The following is a 26,077-nucleotide window of genomic DNA, read 5'->3' on the forward strand; positions in this document are numbered from 1 at the left end:
CAACGATTTTTTAACAATTTTATTCAAACTTTTCCAGCTTACACTAGTTTGGTCTGTTTTGATGTTTATGTAAAAAGAATCAGACTGTATATATTCTTTCATGTTTTGTTTCTTTCATTCAACATTTTTAAAAGTTCATCCACATTGTTGCTAGTAGCCTCATGATATGGGTATTCAACGTTATGACTTTACCACAGTTTATCTGTCCATTCAATTGCTGATGAACATTTGTGCTGTTTCTAGTTTGGGCTATACAAAGAACTCTACTATGAACGTTCTTAAACATGGATAGATTCTCCAAAGTATATATCTGAGAGAGGAACTGCTGGGTCCTTCAGTTTTTATACCAAACAATTTTTCCAAGTAGTTTTTCAATTTATAGTCCTACTAACAGTGTGTAAGAGTTCCTGTTCCTTTACATCTGCACCAATATTTAGCACTTAGTATAATCAGACTTTTAAAAACTTTGGTGAATGCGGTGTTTCCCAAACATGATTCTAATTTGAGTTTCCCTATTAATAAAATTAGGCACCTTTCCATGTATTTATTGACCATATATTGATTTCCTCTTTTGTGAAGTGTTTTTTCTTTTGTTTTTAGAGAAAGGGTCTCACTCTGTCACTCAGGATGGAGCACAGTGGTGTGCTCATAGCTCACTGTAACCTCGAACTTTCTGGGCTCAAGTGATCCTCCCGCCTCAGCTTCTGGAACAACCAGGATTACACATGCACACCACCATACCCAGCTACTTTTTTGTTGTTTTTTTTTCGTAGAGACAGAGTCTCACTTACGTTGCCCAGGCTGGTGAAATTATTTTTCTTCTGTCCATTTTTCTACTGTATTGTCTTCTAACTGAATTTGCAATATTTGCAAATATTCTCTCCCCTTGTACAGGTTAAATAGTTGCAAAACATACAGGTAAAATATCCATAAATATTTCCTCCCATTCTACAGGTTGTCTCTTCACTCTGCTGCTTGTTTCCTTTGCTGTGTAGAAGCCTTTTATTAGATTGGTGCAAAAGAGAGATTTTTGCTGTTTAAAAGAAAAAAAGGCAAAAGCCACAATTACTTTTGCACCAACCTAACAGTTTAATCTAGCCCCATTTGTCTATTTTTGTTTTGTTGCCTATGCTTTTGAAGTCTTAGCCATAAGATCTTTGCCTAGACTAAAGTCGAGAAGCATCCTCCCCTCATTTTCTTCTAGTAGTTTTATAATTTGGGGTCTTACATTTAAGTCTTTAATCCACTATGAGTTTGATTTTTTTATTATGTGATTGATAGTGGTCTAGTTTCATTCTTCTGCATATGGATATCCAGTTTTCCCAGCACTATTTATTGAAACAGGTGTCCTTTCCCCCATGTAGGTTCTTGACACCTCTGTCAAATTTAGTTGACTATGAACACATGGATTTATCTCTGCTATTTTCTAATACCTTTACAGGTTTCTATATAGGACTTTAGTCTACTTAAATGTGGCTACTTCGTAGGAGTTCAAATGTATACCCAATGTCCCAGTAGCATTTCTTGAAAAGCTGACTCCTTCCCCATTCTGCAGAGCCATGCTCACAAATCAAGTGTCCACAGACGTATAGATCAGTTTGGGGATCTCTGTTCTGTTCCATGGGTCTACTGATTTGGTGTTATAAGTCAAGACATATGATAGGGCTCTCCAACCTTGTTCTTCTTCTAAAGTGTGTTACCTACTTGGTCCTATGCGTGTTTATATAAATTATAGATTCAGCTTCAAGGTATACACACATACACAACCTGTTTGATTTGGATTGGGACTGTATTATAGCTAGAAATCAACTTGGGGATAAATTTACATCTTTACAATATTGCGGTTTCTAAACAATGAATACGATTTCTATTTTCTTGGGTCTTCTTTAATATCTCTCAATAAAAGTTTACAATTTTCTCTATAATGGTCATGCATACACATACTCTACTAGGTTTATTCCCAGATACTGATTCTAAGTACCTTTAGCATCATCCTTTAAACTGCTGCTAGAGTTGGATTTCTGAAACCTAAATCTGATTAGGTTTCATTGTTTAAAATCTATCAGTGTCTCTTTCCCCCTGCTTAGATGATCAAGTCCAAATTCCTTATCATGACACATTCGGCCATAACTTATCTTTCTAGTCTCACTCTCTTGCATGTACTGTACCTTCAAGATACTCCAAACATTACCAGCTGATTCCCTCTTTCATGCCTCTTGTACATGCCAGTCCCTCCAACTGGAATGATCTCCTTATCTATCTCCTGCCGATTTCTATTAATCTTTCAAGATTAGACAAATGATACCTTCCTAAGAAAGGCTTCCCTGTTTCCCTAAGAAGAACCAGCCGTCCCTTTCTTTCAGCTGGATCTTCAAAAATGGGTAATATGGAAGGGCATTTAAAGTAGAAGAAAAGAGTATAAACAAAGGCATTGGAGCAAAAGAATATAGGGGATTCAATTTTGCTAAAGTATGAAAGGAAGTAGTAAGAAATAATACCGGTAAGTTATATTGGTATCAAAGCACACAGTGATTTTCAGAGGGTTCCATATTAAACAATAAAGATTTCCTAAGTTAACAAAGACAGAAAAACCAAAGGATTTTAGATATGGTCAAACGTGTACTTTAGGAAGATTAACGTGGCTATGTTACATAAGATAAACTGATAGAGAGCAGGAGGAGGATGGGAATCCAGGAGACTAGATAGGAAACTTAGTACAGTTCAAATAAGAGGCAATGAAAACTGAACTAAGGAAACAGTAAAGGGAATGAAGAGGAAGACATGAGTTAGACACCAAATAGGAAAAACGTACAGAATCTGGGAACTAAAAACATGTGTAAGGCAGGGCATGGTGACTCACACCTGTAATCCCAGCACTTTGGGAGGCTGAGGCAGACGGATCACTTGAACTTAGTTCAAGACCAGCGTGAGCAACACGGTGAAACCCCATCTCTACTAAAAATACAAAAATTATCTGGGTGTGGTGGTGCACACCTGTAGTTCTCAGGAGGCTGAGGTGGGAGGAATGCCTGAGCCCAGAAGGCAGAAGTTGCAGTGAGCTGAGATCACGCCACCGCACTCCAGCCTGGGTGACAGAGAGACTCCATCTCCAAAAAAAAAAGATGTGTAGTGAGAGCATGGGAGAGAAAATCTAAGAGGTAATGGTAAAATTTCAAGCATGGCTGAAATGACTGTAGTATCATTAACAGAATTACACGTTGGTTCTGAAAAGATGATAGATCAGATGGTGACGTCCAACTGGGTATTAGAAAGGTACAACTAAAGGTCAGACTACATTTAGGCAGGCAGATCACGAGGTCAAGAGATCGAGACCATCCTAGCCAACATGGTGAAACCAGTCTCTACTAAAAATACAAAAACTAGCTGGGCTAGGTGGCGTGTGCCTGTAGTCCCAGCTACTAGGGAGGCTGAGGCAGGAGAACTGCTTGAACCCGGGAGGCGGAGGTTGCAGTGAGCCAAGATGGCACCACTGCACTCCAGCCTGGGCGACAGCGACAGACCAAGACTCCATCTCAAAAAAGAAAGAAAGAAAGAAAGAAAGAAAAAGAGAAACATTTATATATAGGTAAAGATTAAAATAATAGGTTCTGTGGAGACTGGCAAGAGGAAAATTGAGGACAGAGCTTAGAAAACACCTATATTTATGTGTATAGAGATAAAGGAGGATTGTGTAGGATGAAAATGTAGTGATAGGACTGAAACAGTTAAGAGAATAATATGCAATAATGAATGCCAAAGGCAAAGAATTTCTAAAGGGAAGAATGCTGCAGAGGAGGTCAAGAAGACTGAGGAGTGAGATGTCTCTGTTAACAATGAGATCACTGGCCAGGCATGGTGCTCACTCACGCCTGTAATCTCAGCACTTTGGGAGGCCAAGGCAGATGGATTACCTGAGGTCAGGAGCTCAAGACCAGCCTGGCCAACGTGGTGAAACCCCATCTCTACTAAAACTACAAAAAAATTAGCTGGGTGTCATGGTGGGCACCTGTAATCCCAGCTACTTGGGAGGCTAAGGCAGGAGAATCGCTTGAACCTGGGAGGTGGAGGCTGCAGTGAGCCAAAATCACACCACTGCACTCCAGCCTGGGTGACAGAGCAAGATTCCATCACAGAAAAAAAAAAAAAAAAAATCCAGTCACTGATAACCAGCAGGTGGAACAGTAATTAAGGAACAGTTTTTAAAACAGAATGGAGGCATGCCAGGGGTTTATGGGATGATTCTTTGGAAAATTTCAGACTACCATTTATTTAATTGAATCCTTTGTTATATTTCTATTTTTTATACATGTACTTGTAATGTATGTACTATATTAGTGGTTAGAGAAGATGATCTATCTGGATTTCTGCTGAACTTGTTGCTATTTAGACAAACTATAATAAATAATTCATCCAAAAGTGATAGCTGAAATTAAGTGCTCAAGTATTACAACACAAAAACACTTTCTGAAACATGATCTTCAGGAAATACTAACTTCAATCTCTAATAGTAAAAATATAATAAGGTCTTCAGTATCCCAGCAGACTGTGCTTTGACTACAGATTCTATATCTGTCATAATAAAAATTAATATTTTAAAAAATAGACCAAATATAAGCTTTCTCACACATCTTAATTTCCTTTACAATAGTACTAGTAGAAATAAGGCAATCTACTAACTGCAAAATGGTTTTACTAATTATAAAGTTACTTTGAAATTAAAGATCAAGAAACTAAATTATTTTTCTGTTACTAATGAAAAATTCAAAACAAATTAACAATGATATTCAAAGCAGAAATATTTCCACAATCTCATGTGTACATTCTATGCCAGTTTTATAGCCAACAATTAAACTTTAAATAAAATTCATGTACAGAAGTACCATGAAATGAAATTTGCTCAGAATGACAGATTAATTCAAGTTAATTAAAAGCTAGTTTATACAAAGTTTACTTACCTAAATAACTACTACAAGTGACCCAAAAATTAGGTTTTAAGGAATATTTGTAATGCTTTATAATACAAAATGAGGAAGAGCATGATATAACTTAAAGACGTGGAAAAATGCAACTGTCTTAAACTAAGTTAAATGTTAACAGATCTAGTCTTTTTGAGATATTTAATGACAAATTTCAAATAACACAGCTATTCATATACTGTATGATGAAAACACTGATTCGCATATGCTAAAAATACCATCTCTACTTTTCTTATATTTAAATTTAACAAAATAAATTTATAAATACATTGACTAATGTAATTTTCTGTGATGACAAATGGCTAGAAGTGACTGCTTAAATAATCAGAACTCAAAATGGACAGATTAAGGTCAGCATCTGACAATTTATCTCTAAATGCAGAAATAAGGGCCCTCGGAGTTTACCATAGGCTATACTATATATTTTTCTAAGTTAATCTGAAAATGCTGATTCTTTTCAGCTTATTATCTTATAATGATTCTTTAAATTGACTTACCAAGATTTACATCTGGTAGTATCTTATCAAGAAATTGTGTTTCCCCACCATTAGGGGAAAGAAAGTCTGCCAGAAGTTGACTATTACTCAGTTCTGGATGCTGCAGAAGTTTCTTGAATGAACAAAAAAAACGGAAAACACAGTTTAGAAATCTAGAGGAGTAGTCAAAACTGTATTTTAATTTCTTTAAATTTTAAATCCCCAAAAGCTACTTTATATTTAAAATAATAACAAAGCAACTGCATTTTTAGAGGGAAGAATATAGGATAGTAGGTAAGACCTTGGCCTTTATAGTCAGATATGAATGGGTTCGAATCCTGGCTCTTCCACATGCTAGCTAAGTGCCACTAGAAAAGTTCCTAAATTGCCCAAGAGTCAGTTTCCTAACTTATAAAATGAGAATAATGACACTACCTATAGTATTGTTATATAAAGCATTTAGCACAGTATCTGACACACAGGAAGTAAAACTAAACATTAGCTACTATTATTTCCAGTTTCTCAACTATAGAAAAAAATGATAGCATGATACAGCTGTCCTGATAAATTTTTAAAAGTCGGCATAAAGGGTTTTGCAGAAAACTAGATGGGGAAATGTGAAATAACTTGAAAAATCTGTTGTCTGTTCTTCCTGCAACACTGTTTTCTAATAAGATAACATGGGCTGGGTGCGGTGGCTCATGCCTGTAATCCCAGCACTTTGGGAAGCTGATACAGTGGATCACCTGAGGTCAGGAGTTCGAGACCAGCCTAGCCAACATGGCAAAACCCCGTCTGTACTAAAAATACAAAAATTAGCCAGGAGTGGCAGTGGGTGCCTGTAATCCCAGCTACTTGGGAGGCCGAGGCTGGAGAATCGGTTGAACTCGGGAGGTGGAGGTTGCAGTGAGCTGAGATCGTGCCGTTGCGCTCCAGCCTAGATGACAAGAGCAAAACTCTGTCTCAAAAAATAAAAAAAATTAAAAAAAGACTTTTAAAAGCCAAAATTAACCCAGTCTTAATAGTTTCCTAACTATGAAAGTCACAAAACTTTATAAGCAGAAATCTACATTAAAAATTTAATTTAAATCCATATTACAAGAAAATATTTCTTCCAGAGTGAAGTACTCTAGTTTGTAGAAATAATTAGCTGGTTCAAATAATGAGTTAATAGTATCAACAAAAACATAGCTTTGTGTTTTAACCAAACATCCTTGCAGTAGTTAATTATTATTTCATATTTCAATTTTCATATCACCAAAAATTTATACAGAAGATACCTATATATATATATTTTTTTTTCAACTTAGGGTTGAAAGCATTCAACAGTTCAGAGACAGGAAATAAAGTGTAAATACTCCTTTATACTGCTGAGTATTTTTAATTTAAAAGTCTTTCTTTTTGGCTAGGAAGCATCCAAATTTAACTGAATGAAAAATTCTTAAAAAATATAAAATTCCATGCCCAAATAAAGTATTTTTTTAACAAATTGAAAGTATCCTCCCTTGTAAGCACTTGATAAAGAAAGATGTTTATTAGTCTTGGAGAGCCTGATGTCTCAAGTAACTTTTATGATGACTGTACCATGTATTTAAATAATACACCCATACATTTTAACATAATGTAACGTGCACACACTGAGAAAAATGGAATTCAACTCCACGTAGCAAATAGTAGAGTTGATCCCAGGAAATTGGAAAAATATCTATAAACCCAAAAGAAAAGGGACTGAGGAATAACATAGGAGAGAAGACTCCAAAGTTCAGAAAAAGCTAAACACAAAAATCAAACAGAAAACAGAACAAACAGTAACAAATATTCTAAGAATACTATCCAGTATTCTTCAAATGCATCTAATCTTTTACACCAAGTTCCTTTTTTTAATGTCCTATACAAAGTTGTAACTAGCCTAAAACTAAGTAAAGATTTTTCTTCCCCTAAGAAAATATCTTGCATTTCATTCAATTTGGAGGGAGGGTAAGTAATATACTTTTGACAAAAATTCATTCTAAAATTCACAAGGAAAAATATTTTCTAAATTAAAATCTACATGGACAGGTATTTATAAACCAAAGAACATATACACAAGAGAAAAAGAGACAAATTAGAGAATGCTATGATTAGCAACATTTGGAATTAATACAGTTGATGTTATACCTGTAGATATTCTTGGAACTCTTCCCTCTTTGACTTTAAGAATTCATAATTTTTGGGGCCAATGATCCTCTTAGAAGGAAGCTGGGCATCAGGAAATGCACCTGAAATTAGTATATATTATAGTTATTACTGTGTTCTGCTACTATTTTTAAAACCTTAAATTAGGTTTTAAAATTTACTATGGCACATTCAGATTAGCAATACTGCCTTGTACAGATGTGACATTACTCTTTGAAAATCTTCACAAAACCAGAGAGCTTCAAGTCAGAAGTCCAGACCAAAGAACTTGAGTCTACTGATAAACAAAATATTACTCTTGTAACAATCACTGTTTGACACAGATTTTTTGGCTTTCTATCCTAGTAAAACAGCTTCAAAAAATTATTATGAGATTTTTTTGAAATTGGTGAGATTCTACTAGACAAAACCTTACTAAAGAAATAACTAATTTCTCACAGGGAAAAAAGATAGCATCTTGTCAATGCTATATAAATGGCTTAAAATCACAATGTAGGCTGGGTGCAGTGGTTCACACCTGTAAGCCCAGCACTTTGAGAGGCCACAGCGAGCAGATCACTTGAGGTCAGAAGTTCAAGACTAACGTGATATAAAACCCCATCTCTACTAAAAATACAAAAAAATTAGCCAGGCGTGGTGGTAAATGCCTGTAATCCCAGCTACTTAGGAGGCTGAGGCAGGAGAATCGCTGGAACCTGAGAGGTGGAGGTTGCTGGGAGTTGAGAGCACACCACTGCACTATAGCCTGGGTGACAGAGTGAGACTCACCTCAGAAAAAAAAAAAAAAGGCCACCAACATGATGAAACCCTGTCTCTACTAAAAATACAAAATTAGCTAGGTGTGGTGGCACATGCCTATAATCCCAGCTACTCGGGAGTCTGAGGCAGGAGAATCACTTGAACCCAGGAGGCAGAGGTTGCCAAGATCTCTGTGGTGAGCCAACATCGTGCCACTGCACTGCAGCCTGAGCAACAAGAGGGAAACAAGGAAATGAAGGAAGGAAGGAAATAAGGAAATGAAGGAAGGAAACAAGGAAACGAAGAAGAAAGGAAGGAAACAAGGAAACGAAGGAAGAAAGAAAGGAAGGAAACAAGGAAATGAAGGAAGGAAACAAGGGAAGGAAGGAAGGAAGGAAGCAAGCATGAATGTGCTTTCTCAGATAGGGCTGGCTTTAGAAATTTTAGCATCAAAAAAGAAAAGTATGGAGATAAATTGTCTTCTCTCAGCCTTAAACAAAAAAAGTAGTTTTCAGAGAAAGAACGAGGATGGTACTGCACCAGATTGGTAGAGAGAAAGATAAAACCATTTGAACACAAGTACAAACTCAAAATCTATGCAAAAATATGGAGTGGGACCTTATATTCTTTATCTTCCTATAATAATCATCCTTATCACAGGCTTTGCTCTTACAGCAGGGACAGGAACGTTCCTTACCCTTCTCAATAAAAACCAACCTGAATTTGGATCAGGGGACACTCTACAGAGCTTTTCTAAAATAAAAAGATTTAGAACACACAAATAAAATTCACCAAGCTAAATACAAAAAAAAATAGCTGGAAATTCTTTATAACTATATCCTTGATATTAACCAAAATAAATACATTGATGAGACAGGAAGAACGAAAAAGAGTAAATAGAGAACCCTTTCTAAAATATAGTTTTAAAATAGCTATTTTTAAATTTTGATTTTATTTAAAAAAAGCATAAATGTACATTGCAAGAACTTTAAATATACAGATAAATAAAAATAAGATAAACAGTACATTTCCGTTATCAATGAAAGTATACACAAGCATCAATGTTGTATTTCTTGTATTTCAATTACTTAAAATAAAAAAATTAATCTGGTGTCATAGTTTTAAAGAATGCTAATGCTGAAATGTAATGTTTTATCCAAAAAGAATAACATACCATGAAATTCTGTTAGTTTTGATTCAAGTACATAGAATTCAAGATATCTTCTATAGACAGACCAATGTTCAGGCTCGTGTCCAACTGTAAATTGAGTACACACACACTGAGTAACAAATAATTTCAAAACCTAAAAGAATGCCATATTTAAAACATTAAGAATACAAAGCTGGCTAGACACGGTGGCTCACGCCTATAATCCCAGCACTTTGGGAGGCCAAGGTGGGTGGATCATTTGAGGTCAGGAGTTCGAGGCCAGTCTTGCCAACATGGTGAAATCCCGCTTCTACTAAAAATACAAAAATTAGCCAGGTGTGGTGGCAGGCACCTGTAGTCCCAGCTACTCAGGAGGCTAAGGCAGGAGAATCGCTTGAACCCAAGAGGCAGAGGTTGCAGCGAGCCGAGATTGCGCCATTGCACTCCAGCCTGGGCAACAGAGCGAGACTCTGTCTCAAAAAAAAAAAAAAAGAAAGAAAAAGAAAAAAGAATACAAAGCTGGACATTATTCCACAGTTGTAATTTGTTATTTTTGGCATAACATTATTAACACATTTTATCCCATATTTTAGTTACCTAGAAGTGACTGATAAATTTCATCTATTTATGAAGTTATCTCAAATATACTTTTTCTATAACAGAATCAGAGCTGACAGAAACTTTAAAATATCATGCAATTATGATTATTTTTAAAATATCACCAAAATGATGTATTTCATAAGTTTTTTTTATTGATTTGGGGTTTCTCAAATATTTACCATATTGTCCTAATTTAATATAGTATAGAGCAGTACTATCCAATAGAACTTTCTGCAGTTACGAAGATGCTCCATGGATCTGCATTAATATAGTAGCTACTAGCCACATGTTGCCACTGAGTACTTGAGAGGCAGCTAATGCAACTAAAGAACTGAAATTTTAATACAATTTAATTTGATTTTAATTACCACATGCAGCTAGTGGCTACTAAATTGGGCAGCACATAGTAATGGTTTAAAGAGTAAGTCTGGAATCAGACTGCCTGTTCTAATCCCAGTTAACCCCACCCCCATTTACCATGTGGCCTTGAACAAATAACACCACTGTATCTTACAGTGCTTAGATGTAGAATAACAATAATTGTGTCTATCACATAAAATAATCCACATAAAGCACTTCTGTACAGTGCATAGCACAGAGTAAATACCTCATAAATGTTAACTGTTATTGTTAACATCTAACATCAATCTACCATAGATTTGAGAATGCAGTAGATCGAGTGAACCAATACCACAATCATCCAAAACAACACTTCTTTCTATTTAGAAAAAACCAACCTGATCACAACATATAAAGCAAATCGTAGTTTTCTTCAACACTGGTCTTAAAAGATCCATAGCATATTTAGGCTAGGTTTTTAATGCTGAAATTGTTATTTTGTTATCCGTATAAAATCAATATACTAAATGATATACTTTTTTTCTCCCTCATAATCATGGTTTCTAAGAGCACATTACATTGACAGTAGAAGTCTGCAGCACTGTTGACAAAAATTATCTTTAAAATACAAGCTTTTGGCCCAGCACAGTGACTCACACCTGTAATCCTAGTACTCTAGGAGGCCAAGGCAGGAAGACCGCTTTGAGCCCAGGAGTTTGAGACCAGCCTCAGCAACATAGTGAGACCTTTTCTCTACAAAAAAATTTTAAAATTAGCTGGGCGTGGTGACATGCACCTATAGTCCCAGCTACTCAGGAGGCTGAAGTGGGAGGATCACTTGAACCCGGGAAGTTGAGGCTGTAGTGAGCCACAGTCATGCCACTGCACACCAGCTTGGGCAACAAAGCAAGACCCTCTCTCAAAAAGAAAAAAAATTAAATTAAAAAATAAAATAAAAGTTTTAAGATTTTTTGGTTTTTATTTTTGAATTACTGAGCCATGAACTATTATAATTTATGTTAAATGATTAACCTTTTAAGATAAAGCATAAAAATTAAAAATAGTTGTCTTAAAGCAAAAACAAAAGTATATTCCAAACAAAACTAAGTTTGATATGGAAATCTGACTCTATTATTGACAATGGTTTAGCTGTCCACCTGTCAGAATGCTGAAAGAACAGCAACTACTAAGACTGAACAGCAACTCCAGCAAAATCAGGCAGTATGGTCTAAGACCTGGACAGAAGATGCTGCCTGATATTTAATTATGACAGGAAAAATTATAACTAGCTACTCTGGGCATTCTTCCCTCCCAATTCCTATGTCTCATGTTCTTGAAACAGGATCAACTTCTGAGGAAAATCAGAAAACCTAATACTTTTTGAAAAATAAGTAAGAATAATTAGCACTGATCTTCACACTACTACTTAGTTATCCTCTCAAAACCACTTTCTAACATTGCCACTTTTTTTCCTTCTTTCCTCATAACTCCCTCTTCCTGAGCTCAACTTTATTTTCTGCTCATCATTCTCTAAATGTGGTGCTTTTCGTTACACTCACTGCCCCACTTCTTGGAAAAAGTGCAAAGTGGTGACTATTTTATTTTTTAATTTGATTTCTTTTTATCAAGTTACAAGTAGGACTTTAAAGTGGTGACTGTTTATCCTGCTACATACAGATACTGTTAAACCCGGTCTCTATTACAGTCTATACCTGACATAACCGAAAGAAAAAATATGTCAAAACATGAAGAAGCTTGTAAAGTTTTAACCATATTTTCATCAGTTCTTTTTTTTTTGGAGACAGGGTTTCACTCTTTCTCCCAGGCTGGAGTGCAGTCACACGATCTCGACTCACTGCAACCTCCGCCTCCCAGGTTGAAGCGATCTTCATGCCTCAGCCTCCAGAGTAGCCGGGACTACAGGCACGCACCAAGACGTGTGGCTAATTTTTGTATTTTTAGTAGATATAGGGTTTCGCCATGTGGGCCAGGCGGGTCTCAAACTCCTGACCTCAGGTAATCCACCTGCCTTGGCCTCCCAAAGTACTGAGATTACAGGCGTGAGCCACCATGCCTGGCCATATTTTCATCAATTCTAATTAGCCCACAAAATGGGTGAGAGAAAACGCTGTCTTAATTAAACTAGAATAATACCTGATACAGTGCTATATGGATTAATGATAATTAAGTAAGTGCAATGGCTAATGATGGCAACAAAACCATTAAAAGAACATTGCATTGAATGCCTGATGGACTGTCAGGTGTCTAGCAGGCATCACTCAATAAGTGTTGATTGAATTAGTTAATTAGTTACTGCTATGAAGATAACCTAGGACATCCTAAGCTTTCTTTCAATTTTCTGTTCTGGACACTTCTCTTTTGGATATGCAGCCATATTTGTTAGTTAGAAGTGGCAAAATGTTTATCATACCTGATAACAACAGACTCATTCATGGGCATCTTTTAAGAAAGGTGCTCAGAAAGCTTCCTACCTGCTCTTCTATCATTTCTTTCAACATCAATACAAAACACAGGAATTCTTTCTTTTTTCTCCTTCCTTTCAGAGGAGGGATCCTCAAAAAAGTCTACATATGGAATGCTAATTTTCCATGCAGCAAGGTTTCGGGGAGTATTAGGTGTGCTCACAGCCTCCACTGGAGAATCATCTTCCATTACAACAATACCTTCTTCAATCTGGAAAAAAATTACCAGGATGAATTTAATATTCCCAATACCTTTAGAACTACAGCATATGAGATACAAGTATAAAGTAATATGCCCATATCAATTGATAATTTTTAAGACCCTGAAAGCTAGGTGATATTAAATTTTCTACTGAAAAAGTAAAGGTAAAAAGTTAAAAACTAACAAGTTACTAGCATCAACTCCAAGTTTTCTTACATCATCTGTATATGAAAATATAATAGGCCGGGGACAGCGCCTATAATCCCAACACTTTCAGAAGCTGAGGTGGGAGGATTGCTTGGGCCCAGGAGTTTGAGACTAGCCTGGGAAACACAGAGCAAGTAGGCACTGCTGCCAAATGATCACAACAAGGGTTCTGAAAGATAATGTCAGGCTGGGCGCATTGGCTTTCACCTGTAATCCCAGCACTTTGGGAGGCCAAGGTGGGTGGATCACCTGAGGTCAGGAGTTCAAGATAATGTCTCCTAAGTCTCCAATAAGACATCCTAAATGTCCATCTTAGGATCACAAACCAATTTAGGATCACTCGGCAGTGAAACTGGAAACTTCTCTTTTCCCTCAACTTCCTAAACAAGACAAAGAGGATTCCCCAAGGTCCCACGGCTTAGAACTAGCACAGTGTCTTCTAAATTCTAAATGGCATCATCTTAGTCTGCGTTAGCACCTTACTGTCCCTGAGTTTTCCCTTGATAGTATTAAACATTAGTTTGCCTGCTTCTCCAACTTTCTGTTACTACTATCTTTAATCCCAATCAAGAATTTCCTTCTTCCTTGGGTCACTATAAAACAAAGCAAACTCTCTCAGCTTTTTAAAGATAGCCTCCTATTCCTAAAGCTAAAGTACAACTTGTGTATCAAGCAATTGGGAAGGCAAAAAATAAAAAATACATCTTCTTCCACAAAAAATTATGTTTTAAAAGTTCATAATAACACGGTTAAATACTTTTGTTATAATATCGAATAGAGAAAAGATAGCAAACTATATATAAAATGTAGTCTACAGGGGTGAAAAGGGAAAGTTTTTTTTTTTTTTTTTAAAGAAAATCACCAAACTATTAATAGAAGCGGTTTCTGGGTGGTAGATATGCACGTACGTGGCATTTAAATTTTTTCCACTGTTCTATATTATTAAAAAACTGAGAATATGCTTAAAATTAGAAAACATAAACATTATTTTGAAAAAGACTTTCTCTGATCTACTTTCTTCTATCCATACTTTTTTTTTTTTTTTTTTGAGACAGGCTTTTATTCTGTTACCCAGGCTGTAGTACAGTGACACAAACATGGCTCACTGCAGCCTTGACCTCCTGAGCTCAACTAATCCTCCCAAGTAGCTACGACTACAGTTGGGCACCATCACACCCAGCTAATTTTTTAATTTTTGTAAAGACAGGGTCTCACCATGTTGCCCAGGCTGGTCTTGAACTCCTTGGCTCAAGCAATCCTCCTGCCTCAGTTTCCCAAAGTACTGAGATTACAAATATGAGCCACCACACCCAGCATAAAACTACCCACACCAAGGCTGGGTGCAGTGGTTCACGCCTGTAGTCTCAACACTTTGGGACTACAGGTGGGTGGATCACGAGGTCAGGAGTTCAAGACCAGCCTGGCCAACATGGTGAAACCCCATCCTTACCAAAAAAAACCACAAAAATTAGCTGGGCATGGTGGCGGGCGCCTGCAACCCCAGCTACTCAGGAGGCTGAGGCAGGAGCCCGGGAGGCGGAGGTTGCAGTGAGCTGAGATCGTGCCATTGCACTCCAGCCTGGGTGACAGAGCAAGACTCCGTCTCAAAAAAAAAAAAAAAAAAAAAATTACTACCCACACTTACAGGGAAAAAATAAAGGCATAAAAAAACGGCTTTATTTGAATTAATAAAAAAAGGTTTAAATAAGATTTTATTCCATTTAAATTATTATGAAGAATCAGTGACCCTTACATGAAGGCAATGGGACAAAGGTCAAAAGGAAGGGGTAAAGAAAAGGGTTTACTCCTGTCACCCCACCTTTCCTCCTTCTTGGTCATCATCAATCCAATCAGTACTAAACACCCCTTTTATACCCACGTTAGTGAATTTCTTAAAGCCGAGGTCTACGTCTTAATCATCTTTTCATCCCCAGTGCCCAGGGTCATTAAAAGGCAAAATGAGAATCCAAGATCTCTATTCAATAAAAATAAAAAGTACAAATGAGACAATACTTGCCTTTATGGGACTATGTGATAGGAAAGACAATCATAACACGTAACTTGAAATACATTATGGTATAAGCTTTAACATACGATATAATAGGGACACAAAAGGAGGAAATGTTCAGTTCAACTTGGGGATTTGGGTAAAGGTTTATGGGGAACAGTTGCATTTTGAAGGATGCCTATGAATTTTCTAGGTCAATACACAAATGAAGGGCATTTCAAGCAGGACAAAAATACAGAGAAATAAAATAGGATGGTAAGTAAAATGTTTATATAAGTCAACTGGAAATCTTGTTAAAATGCAAATTGATTCAGTAAGTCTAGGATAGTGCCTGAGATTCTGTATTTATACAAGCTTCCAGGTAATGCCAATGCTGCTTGTCAACAGACTGTAGTTTAAGTAAGCAAGGAGTTAGAGCATCTATTAGCAACTCTGTATACCTGGAGTACATGGTGGGAAAAAGGTAACATCAGAATTTGAAGCTTAACCAAAAGACGGTAAACTGCTTGACTATTAGAAGTATCTCAGCTTAACAGGAACTATTCTGCCTTAATAAGCAATAACACAGTTCTCAGGAATTTTAAAAATTAGATTCACGTCATGAAACTATCACAACTAATGAAAGAATGAGAAATACAAAGGAAGTCTGAAGTAAGAAGATAAAGGTAAAGTATTAAACAGAATACACAGATTCTCCAAAAAAAGGAAAATAATGAGTATATCTAATTTTTATGTCATAGTAAGTCTGAAGTTATAAATAAATCAAATTGATACATTTTACTTACAAAATCATCTTCACCTTCAGCTACACCATAATTAGGCAACATAGCTCCCTCCATTGTGGTACTTTTGAATACTCCTTTAATTTTGCTACCTATTCTGCTGATTCCAAATGATTCTCCCCTTTTCTGTGTGTTCCTGAATATTAAACAAAAATGTATCAAGTACATAGCAAATTATCACAACAGTCTAGTTTATTGAAAACCATTATTAAAAAAAAGAAAAACAGTTTTGAAAATGATAAACTAAAGGTATAGCTAACATAACTTTTGGAGTTTTCATACACGGATTAAGTATCAACATCTCAGAAGTCAAAAATGACACAGTATTTAAAGTTTAAATTTGGTGGATGAATAAATGGGACAATATTTATTTATAAACACTCAAAATTTACCTAGTATTAACTTCAAAATATTAACAGGATTAGAATTTTTAAAAGATGAGAGCCCCCTAGTGGAATATAGTTCTTATTGCAATATTTCAAAATAGATTAAAAAATGCTTAAGATCTGTTCAAAACCAAAAACATCCCTTTAGAGTAACTGGACTAAAATTATGCGACAGAAAAAAAAAACATTAAACTATTACTTTCTCAGTACTTCATTTTCAGATGGAACTTTAAGAAAAAGAATAGTGCCAAAGGGAAAGGTTAGCAATGAGCACAGGGATAAAAGCAAATGTAGCCCAAGGAAGCAGTCTGCTCTGCCATAAATATTAAATGTTGGTTTTGCCATTTTTTTAAGCTGAATTTCTGAAAGCAGAAATAGCTGAAAAGCAACAAGACAAATAAGCCAAAAGTAGCAAAAATGTCCGTTAGCCTGCTACCCAATGTTTCAGCAATTAAAACCGTAACTTTTATCCAATTTAAAAGTCATGCTCAAGGCCAGGCACAGTGGCTCACACTTGTAATCCCAGCACTTTGGAAGGCCAAGGCAGGCAGATGACCTGAGGTCAAGAGTTCGAGACCAGCCTGGCCAACATGGCGAAACTGCGTCTGTACTAAAAATACAAAAATTAGCCGGGCGAGGTGGCAGGCACCTGTAATCCCAGCTACTAGGAAGGCTGACACAGAAGAATCACTTGGACCCGCAAGATTGCACCACTGCACTCCAGCCTGGGCAACAGAGTGAGGCTCCATCAAGAAAATATATATAAAATAAAATAAAGTCACGTTCACTATGTAATACTGCTCTTACAACCGATATCCAAATAAAAATAACTACTTTAAAACCTGAGAAAGTTTGTTTTGAATGCTTAAGTGTATAGCTATTACTCCTATGAGAAAAATTAAGTTATCTACTGAAATAATACAATTACAGAAAGAAAATTAATCAAGTTTCAAATACACCAATATGTAGTAATGTGTATTTTACACACATCCAAGAAGTAAATCAAACTTCTGGAAAAACACTAATAATAAGTAGTAAGCAGTAAAAGGGGTACTTAAACTAGATTATTTTATCTAAACAAACATACAATTAGGGTTTTTTTTAATCCAGAATTGTAGACACAATTGTCCTTGATTTAAAAAACATTTCCCAAGACATAAAAATGTTAACAAAATATTTTTAAAATCTCTAGACTCTAGATAGTTTATTCCAGTCTCTACAACATGGATACTATAAAACAATGGGGGTTGTTGAAATCTAAAAACTCTCACTTATGATTATTATGCCCAGAAATACAGAAACATCATACTTATTTTAAAAAAAGTTCTTTAAACATAGTTCTAAAATTAATTTAGCAAAATCAACAAGAACAAAAATGAGTCAACAGCCTTAAAATACAAGATACTGACAAATTAAACAATGAAAATATCTTTAAAGTATCAGGACATTTTTATTTTATGATGGCATATCATGCTATTTCAAAAAGGAGGTATGTAGAATAAAAGTAGGTATTCATTTTAAAAGATTATCCTAAATAACTAGGATATAATGGCAGTTAATACCACAGTGTTCCATTTTTTTCCTTTTTATTTGTATTAGGTTGTTCACAATGTACTTTCTAAAAACATTTAATACTGAAAAGAATCACATGCTCAAGACTTACCGAAAATCATCCAAACTTAGGCTACCTCTGCAATAACAGGTATGTGAAATAATATAAGGAGAGGAAAGAAAGAAAGCCCAGATATTATATAAACTTCATTTTAGAACACAAAACAAAATTTAAAAGCTTCAGAAGTTACACAGGTGTATAACATTCATTTTTGCAAAGGGAAGAAATCTTCATGAATAAGGTGATAAAGGTAAGATAAACGCACATAGCTGTCTTTTGTGTTTGGATGAAGTCTACATTACTAAAAACGGTTCTTAAAAATTAAATATGTTTTCTCTTGGGTGACATGGAAAAAAATTAAATATATCAGGAAATAACTGACTTTTTTCTACATAATTAAAAAAGGTTCTTAGAAATTAAATATCCAGAAATAATTCTGTCTTTTCTTTGTCCTTAGGCATACCATTTCTTTCATGCAGTGGAAAGTATGCAGAGACTGAGCCACCAAAAACCTGGCATGGCACAAAAAACAAACCCATATTTTCCAACATTAAACTTGTGTTCATGTTAGACAGAATCATTTATGCTTCACGTTTTTAGGTTGAGTAAAAAAATATGTTTTAAGCTAAGAAGCACAGTTAACAAAAGATCTCTAAATATTAAAAAACAAAAGTTGTACTTTAAGTATACAATGAAACAGAGAACATGATAAATAATATGCATTAGAATTTTACTTTGAAAATATAAAATGTAGACATAAAATATATGAATACATATTTTATGTAATTTAAGTCATGTAATAGCAAATTAACAAAGCTATTCTAAATTTCCAATGAAAGAATGTTAAGAAACTCTTTTAACTTATTATATATAGGTAAATAAATCATTAAGTATCACAGAAGCAGAGTCCTGACAAGACTGATAGTTAACTATTAAAATCAGATCACCATAAAGAAAAACATACTTTAAAAAGTCATAATCAGTATCCAGAATGAAAAGAACCCATATAACCTGTCTTTTTTATATTTTAAAGCCAACAAAATTAGTACCTTAATATGCTGAAAATAATCAAGTGTTCTAAAAGTAGCCAAGAAGGCTTTTCATCTCTGAAGTTATGACCTTGACTTAGATTTAACCACGAAGCAAGCTTTTTATTTTATTTTATTTTATTTTATTTTATTTTATTTTATTTTAATTGAGGCGGAGTCTTAGTTGCCCAGGCTGGAGTGCAGTGGTGCAGTCTCAGCTCACTGTAACCTCTGCCTCCTGGGTTTAAGTGATTCTCCTGCCTCAGTCTCCCAAGTAGCTGGGATCACAGGTGTGTTCCATCGCACTTGACTAATTTTTGTATTTTTAGCAGAGACAGGGTTTCACCATGTTGGCCAGGCTGGTGTTGAACTCCTGACCTGAGGTGATCTGCCTGCCTCGGCCTCCCAAATTGTTGGGATTACAGGCGTGAGCCATCACGCCCGGCCATCTACCAAAGCAGGCTTTTAAGGTCACAGAACCACTTCCCCTTAAATGGTCCTAGAAAAGGGCATGTCATTAGCTCCACGTCCTGGTATGAAACTCCAAACATCTTATGTCTATAAACAGGGATAAATTCTACCTGCTTCTCAAGTATGCCAGTACATTTGAGGAAACTCCTTGGAAAAGAATTCAAATGCAAGAAAAGGCATGTGGCCTGGGCAAAGAACGCTATTTTAAATAGCATGAATATGATTTTTGTTAAATAACGTCTAAGTTTCACGGCTGTAACATAAATTTTTAGGAAAAAGTTACAAAGTGGTATTTTTGCAAATAATCCTAAAGGCATTTCTACCTTTCAGAAAAGTTATTACATGTATACTACTTCTACTGAGGCATTAAATCAGAATTAATATTCAACATTCAAAAAAACATCTATTCCCATAACACTTGGTTACGTCAAGAAATACAATATATTCTCCTCGTGGCTAAGGTTTTCACATTTTCCCTTGTACTAACTATCTAAAACATTGCCCCATTTCTTGACTTATCTACTTTTCTCTTTGTAGTACATATCCAATTTATTTATGTTTATTAGATACTTGCTCAAATTGGAAGGTGTCTAGATGTTTGTGTCAATTTTGTACACATATTAGGTAAATGAAATGATCAGAAATGAAAATGAAAGGTAAATGAAATGATTCATTTACCTTATATATAATAAGTTAAAAGAGTTTCTTAACTTTTTTTTTTTTTTTTTGAAACAGTCTGGCTCTGTCACCCAGGCTGGAGTGCAGTAGCACGATCTTGGCTCATTGCAACCTCCACCTCCTGGGCTCGAACAATTCTTCTGCTTCGCCTCCCAAGTAGCTGGAATTACAGGCATGTGCCACCACGCCCAGCTAATTTTTGTATTTTTATTAGAGATGGGGTTTCACCACGTTGGCCAGACTGGTCTCAAACTCCTGACCTCAAGTGATCCCCACGTCTCGGCCTCACAAAGTGCTGGGATTACAGGCGTGAGCCACCGTGCCCGGCCATTAACATTCTTTCATTGGAAATTCAGAATAGCTTTGTTGATTTGCTATTAAGTGACTTAAAACATATATTTATTCATATATTTTATGTCTACATTTTATTATTGGAAGGTGTTGAGAGCAAATCTATAAATCTACAGAATAGATTTATAGATTTGATGTCTGTATCAATTTTGTACATGTAACCTTGCAAACACAAATTAGAACACTAATTATCCAGTTTATAAATGGATAAAGATTTTCTCTTCTATTACCTTTCTTTAGGTCATTTAACTGTACACTTAGATTTCCAGAGCCAAAAAAAAGAAAGAAATAAACATCCCTCCACTTTTGTACCCAGTAAGCACTCTTAAAAAAAAGTTTTCTCTAAAACGTTTAATTCTGAGTTATCTGTGGATGCCACTTATGCATTCAGTCCCTAGTCTCCAATAAAGCTGGTAATCAAAACTAATATATATTCATTATGAGATTAACAAGGCCACATTATGTATCTTGTTAAAATTTTTCTAAAAGAATTTCAGGCATTTTCAGATCACCATATAGAATACAGTTCTACAATTCACTAGTAAAATGCCTTGTGAACTCATATAACAATGGAACCACATATTCATTCAGAAAAATAGCTAATAAAGACAATGATGCTATCATAGAATGACTGGCATCAGCAAGTTCAAAAACAAAACATACAACCTACCTGTTCAATTTTGAATTGCGTGTTGGTGATTCTGCACCTCTTAAAAGTTGTCTGAAATACTTTAAAATAACAAATAATAATTATCATTTATTACACTTACAATTAACATTAAAACATGTTACCTTAGTTTACTACTTTCCAGTTTTGGGAAAAAAAAAAAGCTATCTCAATCAAGTGAATACAGACATGGTCAACTAGGGTAAGGATGAAAATATTGCAAATGCAGATGATTTCCACAGGTTTGTAAATAACGTGTATACAATGAGATTTCTGCGTCACTGCAGTACTACAAAGCCACTCAGGCATATGGCAAACCAGGCAGACCTATTTGGTCCCAATCTATCTACTTACACAAATATAAACAGGTTTTGGTATTGATAATTGTTTTTGCAATTATTATTTTATTTATTCATTTATTTATTTATTTTGAGACAGAGTCTCGCTTTGTTGCCCAGGCTGGAGTGCAGTGGTGCGATCTCGGCTCACTGCAAGCTCCGCCTCCCGGGTTGATGCCATTCTCCTGCCTCAGCCTCCCAAGTAGCTGGGACTACAGGTGCCCGCCACCACGCCCAGCTAGTTTTTTGTATTTTTAGTAGAGAAGGGGTTTCAATGTGTTAGCCGGGACAGTCTTGATCTCCTGACCTTGTGATCCGCCCGCCTCGGCCTCCCAAAGTGCTGGGATTATAGGCCTGAGCCACCACACCCGGCCTTTGCAATTATTTTTTAATCTTCACTTAATTACATAGCGAAAAAGAATATTTACTTTCTTAATCTTGGTTTTTTTGTTCTGTTTTCTACTGAGACGGAGTCTTGCTCTATGGCCCAGGCTTGAGTTGTAGTGGTGTGATCTCAGCTTACTGCAACCTTGGCCTTCTGGGTTCAAGCTATTCTCCTGCCTCAGCCTCCTGAGTAACTGAGATTACAGGCATGTGCCACCACACCCAGCTAATTTTTTCTATTTTTAGTAGAGATGGAGTTTCACCATGTTGGCCAGGTTGGTCTTGAATGCCTGAACTCAATTGATTCAGCCATCTCAGCCTTCCAAAGTGCTGGGATTATAGGCGTGAGCAACTGTGCCCAGTAATCTTGTCTTATTTTTCTATTTATTTTGTTATTTGAATCACTCATCTAATGATATCAAAGCTACTATTAAATTATGTATAAAAATCCTCAAACAAGGTTAATATTTTGACTTACCTCATCACTATGGCAGAACATAGGAGTAAATACATTCTCCAAAAGGGAAAGAACATGTTCATATGCTTCAAAAAGACATCTCATAGTTTGAAGTTTCACAACATCTATGTATGGGCCTTCAGCAACTATTAAAAAAATTCTACTGTAGAAATTATTTATAAATAGCATAAATATATACAGTTCTAAAACGTTTTACTGAAACTCCACTGAAACACACTAGATTGAGAAATTAGACCAACCAAGCTCTAGTTCTGACAAATACATAAAGTATAAATAAGTTTTTTCTTTAAAGCTTTCATCTCATTAGTAAAATAGAATAATAGCTGCCCATGTACTGCAGCTAGCCACTGCAATAATAAACAGAAAATAAATGGAAAAACTGTAAGAGTGCTAAATAAGTCATTCTTATCGTCTTTGACTTACTTCTTTGAATCTCTTCTACAATGAAGGGATCAAATCTAATTTTGTCAATACTTTCATCCAAACAGTATGTTTTATAAATCTTCTGCAATTCTTCATGAAGAGACAGCATTTCATCATTTGATAATTCTGGTCGTAAAATTCTATCATTAAATTCCTCTAACAAATGAGGGAATGAATAAGAAAAAATAATTTTAATATATAATTATTCATAAAAGCTTCAGTCCCATTCTAATTGTAGCCAATACTAACAGCAGCAATTAGAAGCAATCTAATTCATCTAAGTTTTTAAAAAATATTTGAGAATAAAATAACTACTCAATAAAAGAGAAATGCAATCAACCAGTTTTTATACATTAATAGAAAATATGTAAATACATAAATACCAATACAAATTTTGCTAAAATTCAAAACACTAAACACACTTCTAATAGTTTCCTTAAAGAATATTGAATTTATTATACCAAAAGTCTTTTATTATTTTGAGATCTGATTTACTAAATAAAAATAAAAATGAAGACTTTTTTTAGTCCCAATCAATGTTTTTAAACAATATTTCTATCATGAACGCTGCAAACTAGTGGCAGAACTGAGTTTGAACAAATGAATGTTTATTCCAAAATAAAAGATGGTAGTATTATGATAGCCAAAATACCAATTGCTTTTTCTTTTTATTTCAGGATGTGTTAATAAGGAGTTTACCTTTTACTTCTTAATCATTCAAACTGAAACATAAAGGGGAAAAAAGGGAGTTAAAAAAAAAAAGCTGGAATACAGGATATAAGATTTGTGAGGCAACAGAATATAATTGCCATTCCTGTATGAGTTAACATGCATATAACTGGAGTTGTTAAAGAAGAGAAAATGGGGCAGGATATTTGAAAAGACAGCCAGGAATTTTCAAAATTGATTAAAGGTCAGGTGTGGTGGCTCATGCCTGTAATCCCAGCACTTTGGGAGGCTGAGGCAGGAGGATCGCTTGAGCCCAGGAGTTCAAGACCAGCCTAGGGAACATAGTGAGACTCAGTCTCTACAAAGAAATTAGCCAGGCATGGTGGTGTTCACCTGTAGTCCCAGCTACTTCGGAGGCTGAGGCAAGAGGATGAATGAGCTCAGGAAGTTGAGGCTGTATTTCGTGAGCCATGATCATGCCATCTTTTCAGACACACAAAAGCTAAGAAAATTTATCTCCAGCATATTTGTATTTTAAGAACTGTGAAAATGATTTCTTTCAGCAGAAAGAAACAATATTAGAAACCTGGTTCTGCAGAAAGAAATGAAGAGCACCGGGACAGTAAATATGCCAATAATTGTAAGAACCTTTAAAAATGAATGTGTGTGTGCATTCCACACATGTGTAGAAGCCTGATGACTAGTGAAGAAATAATGTACTGTGGTTTTATAGCCTATGCAGAATTAAAATACATGACAACAGGAGCACAATAGGCAGGAGAGGATGCTCTGAGGTACACTGAGGTTCTTACACTGCTCCTGAAGCAGTAAAATGTTTTTAAATTAGGACTATGATAAATGAAAAAGAAAATCTCTGATCAATCAAAAAAGTAACAGAACACACTCAAAAAAATAGGAAAGATAAAATACTAAAAAATAACCTCAAGAAAGGCAGCAAAGGAGAAAAAGAAAGGCAAAGAATATACAGGACAAATATAAAACAAACACCAAGATGTAAGGCCTAACAATAAACACATAATAAATATATCACGTGTAAATGTACTACAGATACCAATTAAAAAGCAAAGATTACTAAATTAGGTTTTTTTAAAGTGAGAGAAACTATGTGCTGCTTACTAGAAATACATTAAACATTTCAATCAGATAGAAAAAGATATACAAATGAACACTCAAATATAAAGAAAGATGATGTGGCTATATTAACATCAGACAAAGCAGACTTCAAGACTAAAAATTACCAAAGATAAAAGAGGAGCATTTTATAATGATAAAAGAATAAATTCATTAAGAAGATATAACAATCTTAAATGTGTCTGCACCTAATAATGAAGTTTAAAAGATATATGCATTCATACAATGGAATACCACTCAGCAAAGAACAAACTACATATTTATTTATTTATTTTTGAGACAGAGTCTCACTCTGTCACCCAGGCTGGAGTGCAGTGGCATGATCTCGGCTCACTGCAACCTCCACCTCTCAAGTTCAAACAATTCTCCTGCCTCAGCCTCCTGAGTAGCTGCGATTACAGGCATGAGCCAACACGCCCAGCTAATTTTTGTATTTTTGTCGAGACAGGGTTTCACTATGTTGCCCAGGTTGGTCTCGAACTCCTGACTTCAAGTGATCCACCTGCCTCGGCCTCCCGAAGTGCTGGGATTGTAAGCATGAGCCACTGCGCCTTGCCCAAACTACTTATTTAGACAAAAACATACATGAACTTTAAAAAGCATTATCCTGAGTGAAGGAAGCTAGGCACAAAGGAGTACATATTATGTGATTCAATTTATATAAAAAAAATTATACAGGCAAAACTAATCTGTGCTGAGAGAAATGAGACCAGTGATTGCTTTGGCAGGAGTAGGGGAAAGAGTGGATCTCTTGGGAAGGATCCTAAGGGAATTTTCTGGGCTGATGGAAATAAATGTTCTAGATCTTGATAAAGATGCAGGTTACGTGGATGTACACACATGCAAAACTGATCAAACTATACATTTAAATTCCATGTGTTTCACTATATAAATTATACCTCATTTTTAAAGTTATATTTTAAAAAGAAATTAAATGCATTAAAAACAATATTTTCAGTCTATAAAGTTTCTTATAAATCCAATAATCTATAATGCTACAGAGCTTATAATTAAAATGAGGTATTCTTATATTTGATAATTTAGTCAAAACAATCCTTTACAAAAACTGTGAAAAAGTGATATTGACATGGGCTACAGTTTGGGTTTTTAATATATTTTCATTATACTGTACTTTTAGTATTTTTTTTTTCTGCTACTAGGATTTGAATGAAGTTAGTGACAGATTATTTCCCAATCTGGAAAGAAGTGGGCACTTGAGAGAAACCCACATATGCTCTTAGAAAATCAAGTATATGGCCGGGCGCGGTGGCTCACGCCTGTAACCCCAGCACTTTGGGAGGCCG

The 26,077-nt window shown here is 35.4% G+C and overlaps 1 protein-coding gene across 44 annotated transcripts in view; it reads right to left on the reverse strand.

Moving 5' to 3' along the window:
* The window catches only part of SNX14 (sorting nexin 14), an 88,363-nt gene that overhangs the window by 15,157 nt on the left and 47,129 nt on the right, over positions 1-26,077 (reverse strand). For 31 of the 44 annotated variants that reach the window (NR_146774.2, NR_146775.2, NR_146779.2 and 28 more), the window contains 9 exons: positions 22,953-23,108; positions 22,530-22,654; positions 21,333-21,391; positions 18,186-18,212; positions 16,140-16,272; positions 12,947-13,148; positions 9,540-9,623; positions 7,610-7,710; positions 5,474-5,585 (listed from right to left, as the gene is read on the reverse strand). Coding sequence is in view for 38 of the 44 variants with exons in the window: in NM_001350543.2 (NP_001337472.1) it covers positions 5,474-5,585; positions 7,610-7,710; positions 9,540-9,623; positions 12,947-13,148; positions 16,140-16,272; positions 18,186-18,212; positions 21,333-21,391; positions 22,530-22,654; positions 22,953-23,108 (999 nt within the window). In the remaining 6 variants the exon portion in view is untranslated. The remainder of the gene's footprint in view (positions 1-5,473; positions 5,586-7,609; positions 7,711-9,539; positions 9,624-12,946; positions 13,149-16,139; positions 16,273-18,185; positions 18,213-21,332; positions 21,392-22,529; positions 22,655-22,952; positions 23,109-26,077) is intronic. The other 13 variants (XM_047419128.1, XM_047419127.1, NM_001350553.2 and 10 more) reach the window with 1 other exon arrangement.

The sequence above is a fragment of the Homo sapiens genome, chromosome 6 (assembly GCF_000001405.40).
Source record: "Homo sapiens chromosome 6, GRCh38.p14 Primary Assembly".
NCBI lineage: Eukaryota > Metazoa > Chordata > Mammalia > Primates > Hominidae > Homo > Homo sapiens.